The sequence below is a fragment of the Homo sapiens genome, chromosome X, assembly GCF_000001405.40.
Source record: "Homo sapiens chromosome X, GRCh38.p14 Primary Assembly".
NCBI classification, from domain to species: Eukaryota; Metazoa; Chordata; class Mammalia; order Primates; family Hominidae; genus Homo; species Homo sapiens.
The window spans coordinates 106702610-106729880 of record NC_000023.11 but is presented as its reverse complement, the minus strand read 5'-3'; the positions used below and the strand labels follow the sequence as shown (position 1 = coordinate 106729880).

Here is a 27271-nt window from a genome sequence, read left to right as displayed (position 1 = left end):
AGGAAACCCTAGGCTTACTCTGAGGAATGAGTAAAGCAAACAATATAACACTTTGCAAACAAATATTCAATAACACATGTGGATAATATGCAGTGATTTTCCCCCTATATTGAAAAATAGTTTTTCCAGGAGTTCAAGGAGAAATGTGATTCCTTACCTCAAGTAATTTGCTGGTTTTATCTAGTTAGCTTGATGGCAAACTTTGGTATAGCCTTTATCTCAGATAATATTGTTTTTAAAGTATCAAAATGCTTTTCTGAATGTAGTGTAATTTAGTGATCAATATTTAGGGCTTTATTCCTATATGGTATCCTGAAACACAACACCCATAGTTAGATTCTCAGTGTATTCATGTCTTCAAATCGACAGTTGCACAATCATACATTTGTACATTATTTTTTTGCATCCTGTTAGCATTAACCTATTATAACATTCAGTGACTATTATCAGCTGGGTAGTATATATATATATAATCCTTAATAATCACAGCAACATAAATATTATCTCCATCTTACAGATGGGGTATCCAAGGCTCAGTAAAGTTAAATAATCCTACCAAGGACACAAAGCTATTGTGTGGTAAATCCAGAATTTTATTCCCAATCTTGACTAAAATGCCTGTGTTTTTCTTAGTACACCATATTGCCTCTCAATAAAGTATAAGTAATATGTATGTAGAGTGCCTGGCATATAGTGGGAGCCAAGCAAAAGTTAATTTTATTGTCTCCTAAAACTATCAGATAAATACCCTTAACAGAAGTAAAAGGAAAATGGTCTAAGTAGGACTCTGTAATTAAATACTCTTCAATTACAAATCATTCATGCAAATGAATCTCATTAGAAGACAAAGTCAAACCCTTGCTATTAGACAGTCAACTGAAATATAAAGACTATAAACTTTATTAGGTCTTTATTCTTGATTTTCAGTAACTTCTAAAAGCTACTGATTCATTCTAATCAATGAATTATCGGCCAAGAGAGATACAGTTTCTCCTTTAATCAATATAAAAACTAAAAATCATAGCATTTTAGATCTGAAAGGGATCTTAGAGTTCATCTACTTTTGTTTTGTTTCAGTACACGCTTCTAACTTGGCCTCCACTGCCTATACAATCATTTGACATGTGAGTAACTTGTACAAGGTTACAAAGTCGGTAGAGGCAAAGAAGGGGCTAAAAGAACTCAAATCTCCTGAGTTCCAATTCAGTGTTCTTTCCATTACGCCATCCAGCCACTCAATACAAGTGCTCTCTAGGCAGGTTCAGTCATAAGGTTTTAAGAAAAACAGAAAACCTCCAGTAGTCAAATAAGCAGCTTCTTCCTTCCAGTGACTCCCAGAAGGCTAATCCTATCAGCTAACCCTTACTGAGAGTGGATGATGTGCTTTACTGCACTAAACTCTTTAAGGCATTATTTCATTTTATCCTGAAGGCAAACTTGTGGATAAGTTTTCTTATTATTCATTCTCATTTGACTGATGAGAGAACCCAGACTCTAAGACTTGAAATAAGTTGCCCAAGGTCACAGGACTAGTAAGCAACAGAGTAGGAATTTAAACCAAGCTCTGACTTGAGGCCCAGCTCTTAAAAACTATGATACACTGCTATTACACGTGTCTCTTTCTTTTTCTCCATTTTTTTCCCCTTTGTCCTTTAGGGTCTAGGATAACTATATACATAAGGTATGGATACCTAATCACAAATAGGGAAGTTTGTGGAAGGATAACCGACGGGGAAAAATAGTAACCTCATACCATCTCCAAGAATTTAAGAACTACCTGGACTATTTTTTTTTCCAAAGTCTAGGCCTTTGCTATCCTCATGCAGAAACCTCTTCTTTTTCAAGAACGTTAGTCACCTGTTTTGCAACTCAATAACCTAAATCAGATTTTTCAGAAGCAAACAAAAGCACTGATACCAAGTCACTTGGGACTTGAGACCACTGGGCAGAGAAGAACCCAAGAACTAAGCAAAGTTTCCACCAAAATTGCAATGAGGTTAACAGGGCACAGTAGCACAATCTAGTATTTGATACCCAGGAAACATGGAGAGAAAAACAGGGAGAGGAGGGGAAAATCTGCTGCCAGTCTGAGGTTGTTAAAAAGCAGAGTGAGGAAGAGATTTCCAGGTGATCTCCTCGGTCATTTAAGACCCGATGCCCACCACCACTTAATCCAAGGCTAGACACCCTTGTGAAAAACCAGGAAAAGGGAACGCAAAGAGCTCAAACAGTCCTTGATTTGCCAGCCTCTGCACCCGGTTTGTTTTACCCTTTTCCACCAGAGAGGCAAATGAAGGATTTTTTTTTGCCCAACACCCAGGCCTGGTGAATCTCGGGGAGGACCCTGCCCCACTCCGTGGGGACAGAAAGAGCACCCACTTTCCTTCGGAGCAAGGGGATAGGACGAGGAGGGCAATGAGGAAAATAAGAGAAACTGGCCATGGCAGAGGTCTGGAGGGGTGCAATCTAGTAGCTGCACTCACCCGGGTGAGACATGGGGATGACCTCATTGCGGGTCCCGGGGAAGTTAAAGATGACGGCTCCAGACGCCCCTCTCTCATAAGCCAGATGGATCTTGTCTGCGAAGGTGCAGCCCCCGCCGCGTTGGATGAGGGCCAACCAAGAGACTTGCACGGTGCTTCCCCAAACCGTGGGCACCGTGAAATTCGTGTGCGGGTTACAGGCGTTAAGCGCCCCGGGCCCGTCGGGCGGTACCAGGACCCCAGCCACAGGCTCCAGCGGCGAGTCCTGGCCGTACACGCCCTCCTCGCTCAGCTCCCACACCGTACGGTTCACTCCCGTGTGCGGAACCCGCCAGGACACGTTGAGGTACGCGGTCCACACTGCTTCAGCCCCCCGGGAACCGGGTGCCTGCGGACTCAGGGCCAGCAGGAAGCACCATGCCAGCAATCTGGAAAAGCCGCAGCCACCGCGGCAGGAGACCCCGGCCCCAGGCGGCGGCCCCATGGCGCGCGCGCTCCGCAGTTCCCTAGCGCCCCTGGCACGCGCCCTCCTAGCGCTTGGCAGGACCCTGGTCTTGAGCAGGTGCGCGCCAGGTGGGGAAGGAATGGAGTGAGACTGGGGAGCTGCGAGCTACGTCGGAGCCAGGAGGCACGTAGCGTCAGCACACAGGTTGCCGCAGATGCAGCTCCTCGGAGCTCCAGTCTTCTCCGCTACCGCGGCTGCCGCGTCGGGCTCTGGGGCTTTAGCGTGAAGCTCCGCCCAGCCGACTGGGGGTAGAGGTGGCTGGGAGGGAGGAAAGGACACTGCGGGATCCGCCTCTTAAAAGGGTAACAGGATGGATCGATGTTAGAATAGGATCTGAGGCTGTGTGGCTAGGTGTGTCGCGTCGTTTTATAAAAAACGGACAGGCGAGGAACGATAAAGTCCGCAAACATAAAGCTTTCTGGCAGGATTCGAGTCGGTTTTGAATTGCAAGAATACATTTTTCCCTCCTAACATTTGCCTAAAGGACATTTCGGGCTTACGGTGCCAGAATGTGAAGTACAGTACTTCTAAAAAGCGCAGATCCAAAGGGTCTGAGTTGTAGTCAAGGGAATTTGGGTAGGGAAGGAATTTGAGTAGAATCAGGCTATTTACTGATTCTCTAGAGGGGGGAAGGGCAGGAAAAGCGCGCTGTTACCCTTTCTTACTGACTTCAAATGGCACCTTTCTCTTTCCCTGCTCCTAAGAAGCCTCATACATGTGTATTTCCTCACCGTTACCCTAGGTTTCATGTACCGCATCAGATGCCTCTTCTAAAACTAATTTTAGTCCTCACAAAAGAATGACTGTTTTCACACACCTCAGAACCAAGCCTTTCTTCTGCATTTTTCACAAACCTGACTTACCCTAGCGGATGTTCCTGCGCTATTCATGACCTTAACTACATAATCTTTCTCCATTTCCCACTAACTGAAAGGAGCCTGACTCGCCTAGGCGATTCACTCATGGCATTATTACATTACGATTTATCCTTGCTTAAGTATTCAATTTTTGTCTACCCTGTCAACTATTATATTTACTAGATGGTTAACAAATGAGCCTTGAATTAAGCTGAATTAATATACCTGCTGTCTGATAGTTATGAATAACTTTTGACCTTGGGGAACTTCCCTGTGGCTCAGTTTCCTCATCATCTGTAAAAGGGGGATAATAATTGCACCTACCTCACAGAGTTTTCAGATGATTAAATGAGTTAATACATGTAATAAAGCACTTAGAACAATGCTTAGCAATATAAAAAACATGTTAAAATTATTAAACAGGTTCAGAGACACAATTCTAAAATAATATTAAAGTTTTAATTTGAGGTAATATCAGAGAAAATGATGTTCAAGATGTTCAGTCTTAGCCACTTTTTCAGTTCAAATAAATACAGTCTACTTTATGCAGCTCAACATTTGTTAAATTTCTGATCAATTACTCCCCTCAATCCCTGGCCCAGCATTTACTTAATCAATGTTATTTACAAAGATTAAGCATGGACCAATTCTGTACTTGATACTCTTATGGCTTGAGAGAAACCTAGAGGAAAATTAACATCATATACCAAACAACACCTAGAACATAAATAAATGTGCAATTTTGTGAAACATATACTCTTAGGTATTGAAAAGGACTTTAGAGGTCAAAGTGGGTATATGAGACCAATAGCATGGTACCCCCAAATACTGATGGTAATCTCTGAGATAAAAATTACCTAGGGGAAAAATGGGTAGGACCAACCACCTCTGAGAAATGGTACAATTCCAGAAATTGTCTGATTTTGCTGGTGAAGAGCATTCAAAATTCAATTGATATTACCTGAATGACAGCCAACTATATTGTACTTTGAAGAAACAATGTGTTCAGAAGAAAGAAGGTATTTTATAGCTACAAAAATGAAGTTCAGAGAGACATTTATTAATGTTTTTCCATTCATTATTTTCTTAAATATTTGTTGTACATCTGCCATAAGCCATGGGCTGAGCATTGTGGTGCAAAATCAAATAAGACATCAACTCTCCTATCAAGAAGCTCATAAATTAGTTTTGATGAGAAGGACAAGTAAAATGGAAAGTGCAGTATAGAGTGATATATGTATATAGTGTAAGCACTATGATGGAGATATGACAGGGTAGTAGTGGATAACAGAGAAGCACCTAACCCAGACTGAGAAGTAAGGAAAAGCTTCCCAGAGGAGGTTAGACCTGGGCTGAGTTTGAGACAGTAAACTTTTCTAGGCAGAAAACAACACAAGGAAAGGCATTGAAATATGAAAAAGAAATGTTAGGAAGCTACAATTACTACAGGCCCAGTAAATGCAAAATGGTTGGAACCTAAAGTAACAGAGGGAGGGTGGTAACAGATCATGTTGGAGAGGTACATGGGGGCCAGTTCTTGAGAGTCCTTTGGGTAAAGCTAGGGAGTTTAGACTTTATCCAAAAACGAGGAGTAATATAATCAGGGTTTAATCAGGGAGTAATAGAATCAGATCTGAAGTTTAGAGATCCTTCTCTGTGGATAATAGATTGGAGGGAATGAGAATAGCAGCAGGGAGCCCATACAGAAGATGGTTGGCAGTGCTACAGGTGAGAGATGAAGATGGCTTGGATAGACAGGTAGTGGACATGAAGAGAAGTGGGCAGAATGGGAATGTTCTTTGGTGGTAGAATCAACAGGACTTGGTTTGGGGGATGAAAGAGAAGGAGGAGTTAGAAATTACTCTGAGGTTTTTGACTTGGAAGACTAGATGACATTCAATCAGGGAATACAGGAGGAGGGTTTTAAATGTATAGAATGGGTAGAAGGAGAGATGAGTTCACTTTAGATATGTCGATTTTGAGGTGCCTATGATGTAACCAGGTAGAACTGTGTGATAGGCAGTTGAGTTTCCGATCACTGAACACCTACTAAGTGCAAAGCATGGGAGAGACAGGGGTGTAGAGAGACAAAAGAAACAGCCCTTGCCTTCAATGAGCTCATGGTCTAGTGAGACAATCAGAGAGATAAACTATCAATAACAGTACAGTGTAATACATGTTATGACTGAGAAAAGTATAAGGCGCTAGGGCAAGACAAGTGTGACTGAGTCTTTAAGTACAAATGGAGTGACCCAAGCAAAGAGAGTAAGGATTTTCAGGCACAGGCAAGAGTATATTATATGAGAACTCCAAAGAACATTCAGGGAACTAGCATTCAGTAGTTCGGTATGGTTGGGATATAAAGTTGCAAAGGTGGAGCCAAGGGAAGTGAAGCTAGTCAAATAACTTGTGCCAGAACATGAAAAGTTTAGAAAATTATACATACATACATATATATATATATATTTTAGACAGAGTTTTGCTCTTGTTGCCCAGGCTGTAGTGCAATGGCATGATCTTGGCTCACTGCAACCTCTGCCTCCCAGGTTTAAGCGATTCTCCTGCCTCAGCCTCCCAAGTAGCTGGAATTACAGGCGCGTGCCACCATGCCCGGCTAATTTTTGTATTTTTAGTAGAGACGGGGTTTCACCATGTTGGCCAGGCTGGTCTCGAACTCCTGACCTCATGATCTGCCCACCTCGGCCTCCCAAAGTGCTGGGATTACAGGCGTGAGCCACCGCGCCAGGCCAGAAAATTATATTAAAGCGTACGGACTCAATATGCATGCACATGTGTATACACATACATAAAGCAAATATGGCAAAATGACAACAAGTGATAAATCTAGATGGTGGGTGTATGGGTGCTCATTGTACTTTTTTTCCTACTTTTCTTATACAGTATTTTAAACATTTTGTAATAATGAGTTTAAAATTGTGAATTTATATTGAAGTCAATGGAGCGAATGAATGGTATGACCAGATTTGAACTTAAAGAGATCATATGGATTGTATGAGGACAAGACTGATGAAAAAGAGACTAGTGAGGAGGCCAATATCTCCAGAACTATTCTGGAGGTCTAGACACTTGTGGAATGGAGGTATCAGACTACCATAGCTTGATAACGTGAGTCATTAAAATCATCCTATGAACCCCCCTTGCTCTGAGTTCATCCTCACCGAGCAACCCTACTTATTATCAGTTAGCTCCTCATGTAAATATGCCTACAGGGAGATAATGTACTGATTAGCAAACACTAGTATCTGGTCCACTTGGAAGTTGTACTTCTCATTATAAATTAATCAACTGGCATTCTGGCTTATATATTGGTCTCTCGTGAATTTGGTTAAGTGTGAGTCAGTCCCCAGAAACCCAGTCTCTGGTTATACTACCAATCAAATTTCGAGGCTTACAAAGCTAAGAACCAGATTGTAGATCATGACTGCAACAAAGTACTTCCACTCTATGGAGACTTGCCTGGGTAACCCACTGGTTTTACCCAACCGTATTCCTCTATTTCACTGTGAGTTATTTTCTAACTACAACAGAGCCTTGCTACCAAGAGTGAGGTCTGTTGATCAGGAGCATCAGCATCATCAGGGAGCTGGTTAGAAATGCAGAATCACAGGTTCCACCCAGACCAACTGACTTGGAACCTGTCTTTTAACATGATCCCCAGGGGATCTGCATGTATATATGTTTGAGGAGCCCTAGGGTAGACTAGAGTATTCCTGACAGGTAGCTAGCATCCAGCATCTGCTTGAACACTCCCAGTGTCAGAGCTCACTACCTCACCAAGCATCCCATCCTGAGTAAGACTACACTTTTCTTGTTGGGAAGTTAATTTAAGTATAGTTTCACCCTGTTTCAGTCCTTCTTCTTCCTTCCACCCTCCTCTTCCAAACCCAGGCCCCCAGAGTTTCCATGCTACTCCCTGGCCATATCACTACTCCACCAGGACCTTTGCTCTGAGCAGTCCCCCTGTACCAGACTTCACCTTATATCTGACAAATCAAATTTACTAGTCCCAAATATATTCCCTCGGAGTCCTACTCTCCCTAAGACTAATAACAGCTACTGTTCATTGAGCATTTACTATATGTTTTACATGCATTATCTCATTTAATCCTCACAAGTATCTATTATTAACCACAGTTTTACAGAAGGGAAAACTGGCCCAGAGAGAATTACAGCAACCTGCCAAAATCCATATAGCTAGGAACAGAAGAAGGATTCCAATGCCGTTCTGACTCTTAAGTATTAATAGCTGATAATGACTTAACTATTTTCCCTCTGGAGAGTGCCATTCGCATTTGGATGTTGCTTTATACCAAAAAGAGAAAGTTCAAGTGAAATATCTCTTGTATGCATTTCAGGCACTGTGACCATTGAGGGAGATATATATGGGCCAGGATATATATGGGCCAGGAGCCTTTTTGAATTCTTCAAATCCTACCACAAAGGCCTACCCTGCTAAATATTTGTATCAGCAATACTAAACTGAAAGCTGCCCTGAGCACTTCACTATTTAATGATGAACTGATAAACAGAGCAGCATTCTGCAGGAGCAACAGCAGGGAACCATTGTGGCAGATTTAGTTTCCCATCACACCGACTCTATAGAGATGTTGAGATGGATGATAGTGTTCAGCTTTTAATATGTTTGCAAGGAATGAGACACTGTATCTGGCTTCTCACCATTAAATGAATGGCAAAGCACAACTTGGGACAAACGGTATCCTGGCATCTAAGTGATGCTGGATACACAGCTCGACAACATAGGTATAGAGAATGTGTAGACAAGGGATGACAATAAATCTCCACTCCAGGCAGCTGCTCTATGTAGATAGCAAGAAGAAAATGGTGGGTGTGTGGAGAGAAGAAGCAGTCAACAAAACAAAATGAAAAGCCAAAGCATGATGCCAACAGCATACTTCCAAATAACATAATGTCACTTGCAAATGAAGATTAAACCTCGGTCAGCTCAAGTTAGTATACAACCATTAGGAAACAGGGATTCTTTTTTTAAAGCAAAACTTTCATGCACCCAAAGAAAGGACAGAATTACAGAGAGTGGCTTTACAAACAGTAGATACGCTGTATCTAAAACTAAGAACAATCTTTTCATATCCATAACTTTAATAACTACCATTGAGAGCCTACTATGGGCCAGGTACTTTACATATATTAATGTTATCATTTGATTTTCACAACAGGTAATGATATCCTATTATAATTTACATTTTTTCAGATGAGGAAAATGAGACTCAGAAAAATGAAGTATCTTGCTGAAGGTCACACAGCTGGTAGGTGGTGGGGTTGGAATTCACACAGGGGTATGTATGACTCCAAATTCCATGCTGTTTTCATTCTGCTATACTACCTCTACACATACATAGGGAGAACATTATTACAAGGTGGAAAAAATGGGTGTTCTTCAGCCACACATTTTACCATGCTAAGAACCCCCTCACCAGAATCCTGCTGAGCAGCCCAGAAATCCTAGATAACAGAGATTATGAGGCCGGGTGTGGTGGCTCATGCCTGTAATCCCAGCATTTTGAGAGGCTGAGGCAGGAGAGTTGCTTGAGCCCAGGAGTTTGAGACCAGCCTGGGCAACATAGCGAGATCCTGTCTCTACAAAACATAAAAAATATATATTTTTAAATAAGAAAGAAAGAAATTGTGTTGGTGGAGGTCATTGCAGAAAACTTGAGCTAAATTGTATGCACTTGATTGCTACTGGGAGATCAAATTAGCTATCTTGAGTTTAGGGAGGTGATTGAGAGGATCACAGATTGCTGAGAAGGAGAGGGATAAAGAGTGGGGAAAGGCCCAAGGCATGGGGGTAAGTTGAGCAAGGGAGGTGCTGGAAGGAACTATGGAGATGAGTGGTCTTTACTCCCCACTCTGGTATTGGGCAAACCTACCTCGGAAACATCTTGTCTCATGCAGTCTCCTATCTTTCCTTTTCAGGTTTCCAGTAAGGTGAAGATTCCAAAAGAATTAAACCTGTGACCACAAGAGAATTTCTGTATATCTTATTAAAGAAAGAAAAACAACTATTTGGGGAAAGTGGGATAGGAAAATGTTTTTAATGAACTATGCCCTGCAAATATGACCACGTATTTGAGGTTCATTTCCAATCCATTCATCAGATCCAGTATGACACTCAGTATACTAGATCCACAGAATCCCCCCTATTTTAGTCTCTGTTCTTATTTTTAACTCTGCTGTTGACTGGTTATGTGACATTGAGGGAGTCTCTGTTTCTTCTTTCTCAACTAAAATAGTAATACTACTGGTAAAAAATTGAACAGATATATTTTGAATCACTTAATATTCCATTAGATGAAAGCCTAACAAATCAGATAGTATATCTAAAATAAATATCTATGATCTTGCCATTGCCTAGGACAAATGAGAGAAGAGCTGTAGAAGGAAGTGGACCTGTCAGGCATGGATAAAATCAGTTTAGTAAATTAGGGAGAAATTAAGTTATTAAAAGTGCCCATGGTCAGGTGCAGTGGCTCACCCCTGTAATCCCAGCACTTTGGGAGGCTAAGGCAGGTGGATCACCTGAGATCAGGAGTTTGAGACCAGCCTGGCCAACATGGCGAAACCCCATTTCTACTAAAAGTACAAAAATTAGCTGAGTGTGGTGGAGCACACCTGTAATCCCAGGTACTCGAGAGGCTGAGACAGGAGAATCACTTGAACCCAGGGTGGGGGAGGTTGAAGTGAGTTGAGATCATGCCACTGCACTCCAGCCAGGGCAACAGAGACTCTGTTTCAAAAAAAAAAAAATGCCCATGGGCAGTAATTTTTTTTTTTAATCTACAGGCAATGGGATTCTTTTCTGATAGAAACCTAACTGGATAATTTCTAATAAGGCTGGGGCTCCTGAAAAAATAATTTATGAATAAACGTCCTTCTACTGTAGTATGTAATCACAATCACCTATTAAGCTAAGACTTACCCTTTAGAAGTTAAAGCCTTCATGAGTGTGGGCAAAGGCTGCCTTTGTATTCCAAGGGGGCAAAGTCACAAATTCACAGCTGCCAACTATATGCATTAGGATTAGTGGCAGCTGCACAGGACTCAAACTTGATCAATAACTCGGAGTAAACAAGTATCTGGCAATAAGTGACCAGGTGCTAGCACGTAGTTGGGACAACTGAAATTGGCTGCCTTGCCACTCATGATTCACAGAATAATTAAGTTCTGTCACACCAGAATTAGACAAGTGTTACGGTTATGTTGGTAGCAGGAAACAGGCAAGGAACAAGCAGGCCTTCAACAATAAGGTATTTTATAGCTACAAAAATGACTTCGGTTTTGACTTCACCACAAATCATGCAGTATAAAGTACAAGAACTTTAATGGGGAAAATACTAACGGGAACATCAAAAGGAAAAAAAAGCCCAGATGCATTGAATCAGAGCACACCCTGGCATCTATAAAATCACATCTCCCTTAGCTGACAATCTTCCAATTAGCTGGGGGGTGGGGGGAGGTACATTTTTTCTAAGCTGTCTCTGTGTAGCTTTGGGTGCAGTTAACATCAAAATATTTTATCTTCTTCATAGTAAACTAGTTCAGACACAGAAATCTGTGACTGTTGAACATTCTGGATGCTGCCAACTCTAGAGCCACAGAAAGTCTTTTATCAGAGGCAAGGAAGTGGCTCAGCAATGTTTGATTTTCGAGAGGGGGAAAAAGAGGGCAGAAATTGAAACCCTGAAGCTCTTGTTTGTTTGAAGAAGAGGCTCATTAAGTTTATCTTCAATGATCCCACTAGTTCATTAAATGTCTTAGTTTTCTTAGGTGATGATGGAGGTATTTAGAGACCTGATGAGAGCATATGTTTGGCCTCTATACGGTGTTTAGGGCATAGCTCCCTCCTGGTTTTAGGGCCTTCTATTGGTTAGATTTAAAACAGAATAAAAACTCTTCAGTACACACATTCCAGTAAGCAGGCTAACATGTGTCAGTGCTTTCAATATGCCCCATGTATGGCATTTTAGGCAGAGGTTTCCAAGTTCTAAGACAGAGGCAATAATCAATTGCTTAAGAGTAGTCTACTAAAGAGTAGATTTATACTGCCTGCTATTGTCCAGTTTGCAACAGAATCTTACCCTTGTCACTCATTGCAAGTTGTAATAGGTAGCAGTGAATAAGTAAAGAATAGAAGACTTTCAATGAAACAGTATTGCTAGGGAAAAATGTGCTAGACGAATCCCACTTAATCTTTACATTAAGTATACAAATTAAGGAACAAAACATTTTTATCAACCTTAACCCTCTGGGATTTCTAACATAAAATTGTAAGCAGTAACTATCATTGGGCATAGAGGTATTATAATTTTCTATTTTGGAGTTTCAGTGATTTAAAATAAAATTCATCTGCTCTATTCATTAGAATAAACATTCTTAGAGCTTCTGCTGTCTACAAAGTCCTACAAATTTGCTGGGGAAGATAAAAACATGAATGCGACAAGTTAAATTAAGAGTTAACCCTATTAACGGTATCAAGAAAAGATCTGTGGGTCCTCTCTTTGTTTTTACTTTCACATATCTAGATTATCAGCAATATAAGCTTTAATTGAAAGCACAGTCTGATCTCAATTGTCTACTACTAGAAAAGAGAAGTGATATTAATTTTTTTTAGATTATTGTAAATAGCCTTCTAATTGATTTTAGTCTCTTCCCTATTCCAAATCATCCTTCATATTACAGCCAGATTATACTTTCTAAAACCTAGCTATGATTATGTCACTTTTCATTGCATATTGAATACAATATAAATTTCTTTCTTTCTTTTTTTTTTTTTGAGACGGAGTCTCGCTCTGTCGCCCAGGCTTGAGTGCAGTGAGGCGATCTCGGCTCACTGCGAGCTCCGCCTCCCGGGTCCACGCCATTCTCCTGCCTCAGCCTCCTGAGTAGCTGGGACTACAGGCGCCCGCCACCACGCCAGGCTAATTTTTATATATTTTTAGTAGAGACGGGGTTTCACCGTGCTAGCCAGGATGGTCTCGATCTCCCGACCTCGTGATCTGCCCGCCTCGGCCTCCCAAAGTGCTGGGATTACAAGCATGAGCCACCGTGACCGGCAATATATAAATTTCTTAACCTGGAATTCTAGGCCTTCAACAATCTAAGTCAATCTGACCACTTCCTCCTTTACCTCTTCACTGTATTTTACACATAATATATATGGCATCTTTCATACTATATTGCATTTATTTACTTACATGCCTATCTCCTTCATTAGAGACAGTTTCTTGAGAGAAGGGACCATGTATCTTTTTTGTAGCCACAGATCTTGCTCTGGCACATCACTTGAAGTGCAAGTAAATGATTGGCAAGAATTTGAGGGCAGGCTATCTAGTTTGCTGCCTAGCTGGTATGATTTTTTCCTAACGTTTTTGTTGAGGTATAATTTACATAGAGTAAAATTCACCCTTTTTAGTATATGGTTATATAAGTTTTTACAAATATATACAGTCATTTAACCACTACCATCACAGTCAAGATATAGAATGGTTTCATTACCACAAAAACTCCCTCATGCTATGCCTTTATAGTCAAAACCCCTTCCCACTTTTAATCCCTGGTAACTACTCAGTTGTTTTCTTTCCCTATGGTTTTTGCCTTTTCTGGATTGTCATATACATGTAGCTTTTTGTGTCTGACTTCTTTCACTTAGCAAAATGCAGTTGAGATTCATCCATGTTATTGCGTTGGTGTGGTATTTAAACAAAAGAGTGGTCAGAGAGATAAGTGCTGTGAGGGAGTACAAAGTCCTGTGCTAGAATAGAGGCAGGAATGTTTGCCTCTGACTCAAGGAAGTAGGGGCTGTTTCATGGATAACTGCAGGACCTTGAGGGATAGGTGGGATTTTTGATGGACACAAATGGTGAGGGAAGGTATTTCAGTAGAGGATATAGCAGTAACAAAAGCTCAGAGTCAGGACAGAGCAGAGCAGATTTGGGAAACAGTATTTTCATTTGGCTAGAGTACAGAGGAGGAGTAGTGGGAGATTGGGCAGAAAAGGTAGGTTAGGGCTTTGTTGACCTTGAATAACATATTTTGGAGTTGGTCTTGATTCACTGGGCAGTGGACTGTCATTGTAGGCTTTTTATTCAATCTCTTTTATGAGGAGAAGAGTAGTTTAGCCTGCAGGTAATTCTGTTGCCCTGCCTGAACTGTAGTAGACAGCTCTCTGTCCAGGTAGGTATACAACTTGGACTCCTAAAACAAGGCAACAAACTACATCTAAATATATCCAAAGCATACCAAGGACATAAAATATCTGCACTACAGATACTTGCTAGAAAATGCATTCATGAAATTATTGAATCTGATACCTGCTAAAAGCTCTCTTTTATCTCCAGTTGTATTCTCTCAATTCTGTCTACAGTCAAGGTATCAGAAAGGCAAGTTTTGTTCCTGGGTCCTATTTTCCTAGTCCTCCACAAAAACATCTTCACTGGGGTAAGAGTTAATGTTAGGGCATCTGTCTTAGCAGATAGCCAATTAAAAAAAATCCCCATTGAACAGCATTTCTTTCTTTTGTAAAACCATATTATCCACTGATTATTTGAATTCCTATGTAAAAAGAACTTTTTCCTATTTTGGATGCTTGTGTCTGATTATAAAAGACATGAATAAACATTTCACCAAAGAGGAAATACAGATGGAAAATAAGCACGCGAAAAGATGTTAAATGTCATTAGCCATTAGGGAAATGCAAATTAAAATCACAGTGTGATATCACTGCATACCTACCAGAATGGCTAAAATTAAAAAAAATAATGTGTCTACACCAAATGTTGTTAAGGATGTGGAGAAGCTGGATCATACGTACATTTTTTTTTGGTGGGAATGTGAAATGGCACAGCCAATCTGGAAAACAGTCTGGCAGTTTCTTATAAAACTAACATCCAACTCACCAATTTCAGTCATGGACCTTTATCTCAGAAAAATGAAAAATTACATTCACAGAAAGCCATTCACAAATTTTCATAGCAACTTCACTCATAATTGCCAAATCTTGGAAACAACCTAAATATCCTTCAGTGAGTGAATGGTAAAACAAACTGTGGTACATCTATACCATGGAATATCACTTAGCAATAGAAAGAAAGGAGCTATTAATATGTGCAACAATCTGGATGAATCTCCCGAGAATTATACTGAATGAAAAAAGCCAATCCCAAAAAGTTTACATACAATGAGATTCAATTTATACAACATTTTTTGAGGTGATAAAATTATACTAATAGCAGATTAGTGGTTGCCCAGAGTTAATAAGGGGTTACGGGGCGGAGGTCCTTTTGGCTATAAAGGGACAATACGAAGGAGCTCTGTTGCAATGGAATCGTTCTGAATCTTAACTGTGGTGATAGTCACATGAACCTACACATGTGATAAAATTGTGCAGAACATGCATATAATTGCATGTAAAACTAGTGAAATTCGAGTAAGGTGGGTGGATTGTATCAACTCCAATTTCCTGGTTGTGATATTGTACTATCGTTATACGAGGTGATACTACTGGGGGAAACTGGGTAAAGGGATGAAGGGTACACAGATCTATTTCTTACAACTGCATGTAAATCTACATTTTTAAAAAATAAAAAGTTTTTCTTTTTTAAAAAAGAGGAATACATGTTGATTGTAGAATTGTATAATGCATTATTTGAATTCAACTTTAGGAAATTATTTTTGTTGAAGAATTTGCATATTTTCTTAAAACATAAAAAAAAATCACCGTGTTTCTAGTTTTAACTTTGTGTCAGGAAACATAAAGCCCATAGTACTCCTGCTATGGTAGTTCTTTTTTTTTTTTTTTTGAGACGGAGTCTCACTCTGTCGCCCAGGCTGGAGTGCAGTGATGCCATCTCGGCTCACTGCAAGCTCCGCCTCCTGGGTTCACGCCATTCTCCCGCCTCAGCCTCCCCAGTAGCTGGGACTACTGGGGAGTGCCTGCCACCACCCGACTAATTTTTTTGTATTTTTAGTAGAGACGGGGTTTCACCATGTTAGCCAGGATGGTCTCGATCTCCTGACCTCTTGATCTGCCTGCCTCAGCCTCCCAAAGTGCTGGGATTACAGGCGTGAGCCACCGCGCCCGGCCTTGCTATAGTAGTTCTTAACCTTTCTGAGGTCAGAGTTACCTCTGAAAATTTGATGAAACCTAGGTACAAAATAAATCAACACACACAATTTTGTGCACAATTTCAAGGAGTTGTATGGACCTTATGAAAGTTATCCAACGACCCCATGTTCATGTTCATATACTGTTCAATATGGTAGCCAATAGGCTCATGTGGTTATTTACATTTTTTATATGAAAAATTCAGTTTTTCAGTTGCATTAACTATATTTCAAGCACTCAGTAGCCACAGATGGCTCGTGGCTACATATTCAACACAGAAATAGAATTTTGTATAGTTGTAAAATGTTCTGTTGGACAGCATTTCTCTAGAACATTCAGAATAAGATTTGCTTTTAATTAATTTTTTGAGACTGAGTCTCACTCTGTTGCCCAGGCTGGAGTGCAGTGGTTGATCTCGGCTCACTACAACCTCCACCTCATGGGCTCAAGCGATCCTCCCACCTCAGTCTCCCGAGTAGCTGGGACTACAGGCTGCGCCACCAGCCCTACTAATTTTTGTATTTTTAGTAGAGACGGGGTTTCGCCCTGTTGGCCGGGTTGGTCTCCAACTCCTAAGCTCAAGCAATCCACCCGCCTTGGCTTCCCAAAGTGCTGGGATTACAGGTGTGAGCCACCGCACCCGGCTGAGATTTGCTTGTATTTTTTTTTTTTAATTAACTTCATCGGGCTGGGGACAGCGGCTCACACCTGTAATCCCAGCACTTTGGGTGCCCAAGGCGGGGGGTGGGGGACGACTTGAGCTCTGGAGTTCGAGACCAGCCTGGCCAACATGGTGAAATCCCATCTCTAATAAAAATACAAAAATTAGATGGGCGAAGCGGCGGATACCTGCAGTCCCAGCTACTGGGGTGGCTGAGGCGGGAGAATCGTTTGAACCCAGGAGGCAGAGGTTGCAGTGAGCCCAGATAGCGCCACTGCACTTCCAGCCCGGGCCGCAGAGTGAGACTCCATCTCAAAAAAAAAAAAAAAGTAACTTTATCTACTCATAACTTCAAGAATATTAGGAGGTAGTCAAGAGTCAGGCTTATTTACATAACACCAAAACAACTGGCTAAAAGTGGAATGTTCAGTGACTTTGTTCAAATAGTATATCTTTTATTTTAGTAAACATATATGATACTAACTGTGGCAAAGGGTTATTAAAATAACCCTTTTACTTAACTTTTAACTCAGTTAAGAGGGAAGAGCAAAATTTTAAATACTATGATGGGAAAAATAGCTGAGTTGAGTAACATTTTAGATGTGTAGGCAGAAAAAAACGTGGAGAATGCATAAGGGAACTTCTGTCTTGCAAAAAGTAGCATTCTGGTTCATTGTAGTTTGTCAGATATTTAGGATTAGAAGGTGCTCATGCTCAAAGTGTTAGTGATTTATCAAAGCTCTAATGATCTTTCTCTTAGAAGAATTATACGCTTAAAGCATTAACAATAACCTTGCTTTACTGGCTTTCTTCTTGAGATCTTAAAATTAACTTTTTTCTTTTTTGAATTGAATTTCATTTTCTACCTAAAGCAATGTATAGTTTTCTCAGAGTTGCTGCTTATTAGTCCTTAGAAGGGAATTGAGTCAGTTACAGACACCAGTAGATGGGAAGCAGTGATGCAGATGATACAAAGGAGCAGATAATAAAAAGACACTCGAAGTTGGCTTTGAAATGCATTTTTCAGCACATTTTCATATTCTGTTTTATGCAGGCATTCTCTTCAGACATATAAAGACGTGACTCTGAAGTATGTTGAGTGATCAAAGAAAGTTAGCCTGAGATTTAACCACCACCGGTGGGCTAGCCACATGCAGGTAATTAAATTAATGGCAAAACTTAGCATATTTGTATTCTGTATGTCACCTTACTCCCATGAGCATGTAGCCACTAAAGAGATTCTATGAACTTACTGATCTTATTCATTCTGGGAATTTATTCCCATCTTCAAGATGCTTAGTTTTAAAATAATCAATTAGATTGATTTTTGTTTTATTCAAATCAATTTGGCTGACCTTGGCTGAGTGTCTTGGTGTTCTCATAATTGAAGCAGTTGCCATATGGTGTCAGAAGACATTGGAAATTTGATTTCAGATGTCAGTATAACAAGTTACCCAAACGTGCATGTCCTGCACATGTATCCCGGAACTTAAAATAAAATAAAATTTAAAAAATATGGAAAAATAAACCAAAATAAAATGTGCTTGAGACAAGTACTGAAGTGTTTGAATTAGCCATAAAAATGTTCAACATGCTGTCTGTTGGGCCTTTCTTTTATAAGGTTGGAACAAAAAAATGCTGTGTCATCTGTTGTATAGTGGGTTGAAAAAAGGAATTGCACTCTAACTATGATATGCAATAAATAAATCCTAAATACATATTCACAGGTTTTTCTGGTATGGATAAGTCTGGCTCACTTAGCTAGTTTCAAAAGGAAGATTTAAAAAACCGTCGAGATCCAAATAAATGAAAACTTTGTTATGTGCTTAGGAACTTTCCTGTGTTTTATGAAACAAAATGATCTTACTGTCTGGTGATTGCTCCATAAATATGTAAACCAACTAAATAATTCTACCATCCACAAGAGGATATCTGTGAAGGGGTGGATACTAATTTCAGATTTTTGCAGGGTTTGCAAAAGTGCATTTCCACTCCAACCCTCCACTCCCATGGGGCTAGGCGGTGAGTAGGTGGGGAGAGAGGCTGGCTCCTATAAATAAGCACATCTTCCTATAAATTAAGTGGGTGTTTTGAAAATGAGGAATTAGATTCAGTGATTTTTTTTAGCAAAAATTATTTTTATATTTGCTGTGGATCAAAATATTTTTCAACATCCTGTGTGGTAAAGTAGCAAATATTCAACAAGTATTTTCCCACCAACTTCCTTCACAGTCAAATGGGGTTGTGCACAGTTCAGCTGCATATGTTGTCCACATATAAATCACATTTTAGTTGACCACATATTTCTGCTTATAGCTTCAGAAGAGGCAAATCATGAAGCTAGACTAAACCTAGAGAGACTATTATTTCTAAATTAAATTGGCCAGAATATAGTTGGCTATTTTCTTTGTGAATTTCTCCCTAAGGCACCCAGATCAGCTTTTTTTTTTTTTTTTTTTTTTTTTGACAGACTTTCGTCCAGGCTGGAGTGCAGTGGCACCACCTTGGCTCACTGCAACCTCTGCCTCCTGGGTTCAAGCAATTCTCCTGCCTCAGCCTCCCCAGTAGACGGGATTACAGGCGCCTGCCACCATGCCCTGCTAATTTTTGTATTTTAGTAGAGACAGGGTTTCACCTTGTTGGCTAGGCTGGTCTCAAACCCCTGACCTCAAGTGATCTGCCCGCCTCAGCCTCCCAAAGTGCTGGGATTACAGGCGTGATTCACAGTGCCCAGCCAGATCAGCTTTTCGTATCCCTGAAACTCCAAAAGGTTTTAATTTTGTCAAATTGAAAATTCTTCTGACTCATTTAAGTCAATATCCTCAATAAACTGTAGTTCTCTGAGTTTCCTAATGTATTATCCATAATTGCTTATACCATTTTAACAGAATATATAACAGGTGCAAAAGTAGTGCTTGGAGGACTAGAAATTTGCCTTTTGTTGTGTATATCTTCACTGCTTTCCTTCTGTTCAAAACAAATTCTAGTGGTATATCAAAGACAAGGGTGAAACTGACTCAGGGTCAGGAAAACAACCATATTAAAGGAATTGAGATTATCTATTTTTTTCATAGTTCAGTAGAACATGGTACTTTACTGTTTAGCTTCTCAGGAATCAGAACACAATTTATGCAGTATTTAAAATTTATATGAAAGTAAATTTAGAACATTGGAGTGTTTGTTCATTTTTGCCATTTTGTTTGGCTGAAGGTAAAAGTCTTAAATTACCCTTCTCTTCTGAGTAATATTTTCTTTCCCTAAAGTACAAATAGGATATGTGATTGAGGAAGCCTTTCAAAAAAATATAGACTATCTCCAAGATCTTACCGTAGGGAAATAAAAATATTCCCATAAGAAGTTAAAACAGGCTGGGCACAGTGGCTCACACCTGTAATCCCAGCACTTTGGGAGGCCGAGGTGGTGGGATCACCTGAGGTCGAGAGTTCGAGATCAGCCTGACCAACATGGAGAAACCCCGTCTCTATTAAAAATACGAAATTAGTTGGGCATGGTGGCATCTGCCTGTAATCCCAGCTACTCGGGAGGCTGAGGCAGGAGAATTTCTTGAACCCGGGAGGCAGAGGTTGCGGTGAGCCCAGATTGGGCTGTTGCACTCCAGCCTGGGCAACAAGAGCGAAACTCCATCTAAAAAAAAAAAAGAAGTTATAACAGTTAAAAATGTTCCAAGTAAATATAAAACAACACAAAACCACCACAGCTTCATATTATGAAAGTATAATTACATTTAAATGGCACAGTTCAGTGAAATGAAAGCCTAAAGTAGAAGATTCATAACGTATTATTGCTTGAATGAGACAAGTTTTATCAATATTTATCAGTTTGCTAACATTTTATGTATTTATAGAGTAAGGATTAATGGGCTGTGGACATCTATTTCTTCAGAGAAGTATTAATAGGATATCCAATAATTTGAACAATATCCACAAATGAGCAATGGGGATATTCTTTTAGATATAACTTTTTTCATTGTCAGAAGTACAGCCTGAGCATACAAAATAAAGGAAATAGAAGCCTACTTTCATTATGAAATTATTTTGCAAATAGAGTGAAACTATACTAATAAAACTTGCTTGAAGTAGGCAAGTTCTATAATTGGAGTTATAGAATATAGTAATATTTTATTATTTTGGAGAATGGTTAGCACTCATTCCATGATAAAGAAAATTCATACTGTATATAAGTTCTGCACTAGGAACCTTGTACAAAAAAAGACCCCACAATTTTTCTAGTGCTTTAGGAAGTATTCATTTGCATAAAAGCAACTGAAGTATTAATTCAAATCACATTATTCTTTGAAGCAGATTTCTATATTTCATTAGCTTTGATTACATTACTATATAGCCTTAAAACAGGCATTTTATGTATTTTTAAATATATCCTTCCATTGTTAAGAAAACTTCTGTCAGGTAGGCCTTCCTCTTAAAGTTTTTTAAAAATATAAAATGCAGCCCTATTATTTTCAAGTAATATAATAACACAAATGAATTGCTACTAAAATGATGCCAAAAAGAAGCACTGCTGGATCTGCTTTATTGAATAGGCAAAGATTGTTTGCAGAAAACAGTTGCTTCTATATACTACTTAAAAGAGTTTCTTTCTCTGAAAGCACTTAATAATCTCCTCACTCCTCTAAGTGCTAACCCCACATTTTAAACTTAGATTAAACACTGGTGAGAATTAATGAGGTTTTTAATACTCTACTCAAATTCACATGGTATGATGGAGATCACTACATCTACAATAGCTTATGTAGATAAGTGGAGAGTAATGTTAACTAATTCCACAATATCGTGCAGTGAAACAAGATCTGAACTGGAATCTGTTTCCTTCACTCCATAACCCTGTGTGGGTGTAAGCACTTTATGTAGCTGTGTGAATCACTGTTGGTAACCTAGGCAGTTCCTACTGCCAGAGCTTTATATAGAAACAGCCTACAAAGAAGTCATGTCTCCAACTGCCAGCTAAAGATGAGACATCAAATAGCTGTGGGGAGAGCAGACAGAGATTAAAAGAACACTCTGTTAAGAGTCAGCATGGTGTCATCAAGCCGAGGAACCCCAATCTTTCTGGTGTTATCACACTTAAATGGTTCTAGATAAGATTATGAAGTAGGAAATATTTGACTGGGGGGATAGATGCTCACTTTTCCAGCCTCATTCATTCATTTTCATACACTCATTTATTCATTCATCAATGAGGGCCTGATATGAATCAGTCACTGTGCTATACTGAGATGAATGAAACAAAGTCCCTGGATCTCCGTCAGTGTTGTACTGCTTCCAGATCATACCTCAATCAATCTGCTGTTTTACACTCAGGTTGCCATCAATGAATTAATCCCTGCTAAGTTATCAGTAGTACTTTTCAGTTGGTGTTTTTTTTTTCCTGGGACCATTTGCCTTTTTAACAAGGACTCAAAGACCCTACAGCTTTTAAAACCTGAAAGAATGCTGTTTTAATGAAGGATGAAATTTTAGACAGCATGCTAATAGGGAGGAGAATATTGTTGGGGAGGGGGACTCCTGAGACACAAAAAACCGCACATCACACAGGTGACTGGCCCCCAAATCCTTCTCCAAGACACAAAAGTAAAGTCATCCTCAAAAAGTAGATGGAGTATATCCCATCCCACCAAAAGAAAATTTAAAAAATAATTTATTTATAATTATTTTAGTGGTAAAAACATTGAAATTCTAACATTAGTTAAGAAAAAAAGCCAACATGTCAATACCACTGATTGGTAATTGACTGGATGATATAAAGTAAATAGAAGACAACTTAAAATATGTCCTATATTGCTCAGGAAAGCACAACAAGGAAAAATGTGTGAAAGTTAGAGGAAGGCACATTTTGGCATAGTTTGAACAATAACTTTCTAAAAACTTGAGCTGTTCAGCAATGAACTGAAATGCCTTGTGAGATGATGAACTCTCTGTCCCTGACAGTGCTCAAGTAGTAAGTGAATGACCACTGGACAGGGTTTTAGTTTAAGGGATTTCTGAAGTACATGGAAATTATGTATTTTTTAATGTTTAAGCTATGAATCTATTAGTCTATAATAGTTAGGAATTCAGGAATTATACAAATGAATACATAAGAATACATAAAAATAGGCAAAAAGGCAAAATTAGCATGACCCGAACTATGTATGTAAATTTTGAATAGGTGCCAAGTAAAGGAAATATCAGGATAAACTGTTAGCCAAAAAAGACTTCTTGTAGGACAAACATTTTTGCCCAAGAGTTTAAAGTGGGAAAGAGACACAGACAGGTGAAGAAGAGGGAGAGTGAACTGAAAACAAGGATGACTTCATGAGCATCATCTTGCTACTACCGTAGTTTTTACTGTCTACTATAGAATAGACATTGTGCAAAGTGCCTTCTTTATATGCATTATGTAATTTAATCCTTACAACCACCCTATATAAAGTAGTACCACATACTCTTATTTCTTTTCAGATCCTATACATCTTTCGCCGTTTAAAGTAGTATTGCTAGTATTCCCATTTTACAGATGAGATGACTGAGATAAGAAGACTGAAATTCAGAGTGTTTAAGTAACTAGACCAAGATCACACAGCTAGAAAACAAACAGTAGATCTGGGATTCAAACCCAGGTCTATCCCCCTACAAAGCCCATGCTTTGAATCACTACTACATCTCACTGCTTCTGGTAGAAGCCATGCATGCTTGAAGTTTCAGAGATAGAACTATGAAATGTAAAACTTGGGAGGACAAATATTTGGCTCTCAGTAAACATTTGTTGAGTGAATAAGTAAACCCTTGTTTTTTTTTGTTTTTTTTTCACATAAGGAAGCATTTATTTGAGGTTTAACATGAAATGATACAAATAAAATGTGTATAAACAAATCCACATTGTTTTTTAGATTTACAAAAATCACAGTTTTGCCTTCTTTTATTCCCAATTTGGAAAATCCAATTGTCAGCCAGAACTTGCTCTCCCTAAGAGATTTCCTCCTAGCCACACTGCAAAGCTACCCTTGGCCAAGGCTATGGACAAGTAAACAAGAATTAATAGCAACCCAGGGGTTCATACCCTAGGGTTTCTCTTCATCCCTTGGTCTCCCATGTCGTGGAGGTATCATGTGGTAATGCATCAGGTTAGAGGCCTAGTATTTCTCTGTAGGCCTTCTTTAAGCCTTTAAGCTGCCCTTATTGAGGTAATGAACAGCAGCTTTCAGGTGAGAAAGATGTATTCCTTGTGAAACAATCAAATCACACTCCTTCTTCTAACCAACATGTGATTTACCCACCTCTCTCTGAGTTCTGCTCCAAGGAGTCCTCACAAAGCCCTTTGGTAAATATGGTCATTTTGCATATCCTGGCTTTTTGAGAAAACTAATTTTCTAAGAGCATTTGCCTGTGTGTATGGTTGAAATGGTACTACATTTCTCAGATGTAACTACTGTGGCCTCCAACTGCAGCTAATCTTGCTATACATAAGTTAACTGAGCATTTAGATGCTGGCTGCATCCTATATGAGGCTAAAAAAATCAGTTGAAAAATTATTTCTGAAAAATGGTTATTCGGTCCATGCTGACATTTTTAGAGCTAAAACAATATCAAACATCCTATTTGACTGATTGTACACTTCTCTTCCTCTGCTGAATTGACTGCTTTGAGGAAAAGAACTCAATTTACAATTCCATTTAAAAGCTAAAAATATACATAAGTAAATGTTGATTGGATTTAATTCAATTCTGGAATGCAGGGTATCCGGGCATTTAATGATTGCAATTTTGACATCCTAAGGCCTTGACTAAGTTTCTACCAGTTTTTACTAAAATCCTAATCTCCTCAATGCAGATAGGTAATTAGCATTAGTCATAACAAACAGATCATTTTCCAGCCATTTGATTTATTAAAAGAGCCCCAAATAATTTTTCATGTGCTTGTTTCTTATAATGATTTCCTATTTTTATGCAACATCCTCCAGATACCCAGGTGACACTCAAGTCAAGGACCAACTTGTACCTGGATTAAGACTATAAAGCAGTTCCATTTGGAAACCTAGGGCGGGTTAGTTTTATATTCAGGTCATTTAGCACTTGTTACCCTCCACCGTACCCTACCTCCCTGCCCAAACATTGACATGCTTCTCCATCCCTGTGATCTACAATCATAGCTCTAGGAACAAACCCTTGTGATTTAAATTTATTCACATTTTCACCTCTAATCTGTTCAGCTCTGCCCTTGCCAGCTCCTTCAAGAGTGGCTGCTCCCTTGTGAATAATGCTCTTACATTTCATATACAATGCCAGCCCTTTACATTGATAAACCAAGTACCATACTTGCCTGAGACAAATTTACTCCAGAATTTTGTTTCTAATCTTTACATTATTGCCACCTGGTATCACATTCATTCCATCCTTAGCTAGTTTCCCAAATGGAAGCTAATTTGTTTACTATTCACTTCTGTGCTCCTCTCTCTGTACTACTCATTACTTTCTTCTACTTCTCCTCTCCTAAAAGTTTCCATGTGTCTTCTAGATCTCTGGTTACATGACAGATGTTTAACTTGTATACTTTCCTCATCTTCTCTTCACTGTGGGTTCCCTGTGCTTCCTGACTCAACCAAAACCCGTCTTATCATGAGGACACGACTTCTCCTTCAGATATTTTCAGTAAGGCAGCTCATCTGTTCGTGCCCCACATATTTCAAGGAATAGGAGTCTCTTCACTCCCACATTGTTGTTTCCAGACTACTCCCCAGCTCTTTTTTTTTTTTTTTTTTTTTCTGAGACAGAGTCTCGCTCTGTCGCCCAGGCTGGAGTGCGTGGCGCGATCTCAGCTCACTGCAAGCTCCGCCTCCCGGGTTCACGCCATTCTCCTACCTCAGCCTCCCGAGTAGCTGGGACTACAGGCGCCAGCCACCACGCCTGGCTTTTTTGTATTTTTTAGTAGAGACGGGGTTTCACCGTATTAGCTAGGATGGTTTTGATCTCCTGACCTCGTGATCTGCCCTTCTTGGCCCCCCAAAGTGCTGGGATTACAGGCGTGAGCCACCGCGCCCGGCCTACTCCCCCACTCTTATGAATCAAAATCTGCTTCTTGGAGACTCAACAGCATTTGGTTTTAATAACCTCTATTACCTTCCTCTCTGCTTGGCCATGGACCAACCTCCCAGTAATTTTCACACATTTATCGAAGACATTATCATTTGGATCACAGCCATCCTTTTCACCCTCAAATCTTTCCATCACCCAACATTCTGTCCTCAGTGTGGTTTAACTTCAGGAATTTTTGTTGCCATTCCACTTTATTGACCCCACTGCCATGGCCATACTCTGTATATTATCAGCATCCTAATCTGCTAAACCTCCAAAATCCTAACAGAAATATCCCACTTTCTGACTGGTTATCCTATAACTCTCTCACTTTCATATTCCCGGTACTGGTCTTTGACTTCTCTGCTATCACCTTCTATGTTGATGACCCTTCCAACACTCTGACCTTTACAATTTCTTAATTGCTTCAGTTCTAATAACCTTAACATTTCTAGTCTGCCTTTTATGACTTGCGTAAATATTAGTCCCCTGACTACATTTCCCTCCTTGAGGGCAATGATGATATTTTTGTACCATTTTTTACAGTGCCTTCCATAGTATATGCTCACTGGAGAGGTAGTATTGTGTACTGATTAAGAGCACAGACTCTTAATTATTAGGATATTAGGTTTCAAATCTCAGCTTTGAAACGTACTAGCTGTATGACCATGGCGAATTTAACCAATCTCTCTGTGTCTCAGTTTTCTTATATATAAAATGGAGATACTGACACTATGTACCTCATAGCAGTTGTTGGGATGATTACACTGAGAAGAATGCTCGGCACATAGTTAACAGAGTACTTACAATTAACAACTGCCTTCATAAAGGGGAAGGAAAAACAGATACTTTAACAGGTACATTACTGAAAGAAATAAAGAGTTCCAATTTATCATGAGAAATGATGCTGAGACAGTCATTTAAAATATAAATGGAAAGCAAGTGAATTATTAAGGAAATTTTCATTTCTCTTTGTTCTTTCCACGGGGGAGATGTCAATGTATTGATTATTGCTAGAGACGAATTCACTTAACTACATTGTGTTACTATCATTGCATATTGAGGTCATTAGCTAGGTCATGCTGAGAATATATGTCATTAAAAATTTAGGCAAAAATATGATATACATCTAAAACTCTAAAAAGTTACAGTTAACATTACTATATTGTTAAATATTTACATGACTATTAACATTACTATACTGTTGAATATTTGTGTGCTCAAAGCATGTCCTGAGCATAGGTGGAACAGGTTGTTGCTTGCATGATGTGATGAGGGACACTCTGAAACATCATCTCCTGGAATTCACTCTTCCACTGTTCTGTCAAAGGTCCTGATATCACCAGTAAGAAATCTGTTTTGTTTTTCTTTTAAGGCATGTTGTTTCTAGGTGCAACAAGTAAATCTTTCCCCCAACTTTATCAAAATAGCACCTGAATATCGAACAATTTTCTAAATAAGTAGCACATAAAACTTGCAAGTTTAGACAGAAACAGATATAATTTGTTTATATG

The 27271-nt window shown here is 39.4% G+C and overlaps 1 protein-coding gene across 2 annotated transcripts in view, besides 1 other annotated feature; it reads right to left on the bottom strand.

The window, feature by feature from the left end:
• RNF128 (ring finger protein 128) overlaps positions 1–27271 on the bottom strand; it is a 103179-nt gene that overhangs the window by 67136 nt on the left and 8772 nt on the right. The window contains exon 1 of one of the 2 annotated variants that reach the window (NM_194463.2): positions 2484–3180. The exons of the other annotated variant lie outside the window; for it this stretch is intronic. Coding sequence (NP_919445.1) covers positions 2484–2967 — 484 coding nt within the window. The 5' untranslated portion in view covers positions 2968–3180. Of the gene's footprint in view, positions 1–2483; positions 3181–27271 lie in introns of those variants that run through there. 2 annotated transcript variants of the gene reach the window in all.
• Positions 2745–3333: an enhancer, noted in NCBI's record as "H3K27ac-H3K4me1 hESC enhancer chrX:105969778-105970366 (GRCh37/hg19 assembly coordinates)". NCBI's record gives its function as "activates a minimal SCP1, AML or CMV promoter by ChIP-STARR-seq in naive H9 embryonic stem cells {active_cell/tissue: H9 hESC(naive)}" and the evidence as "EXISTENCE:reporter gene assay evidence [ECO:0000049][PMID:30033119]".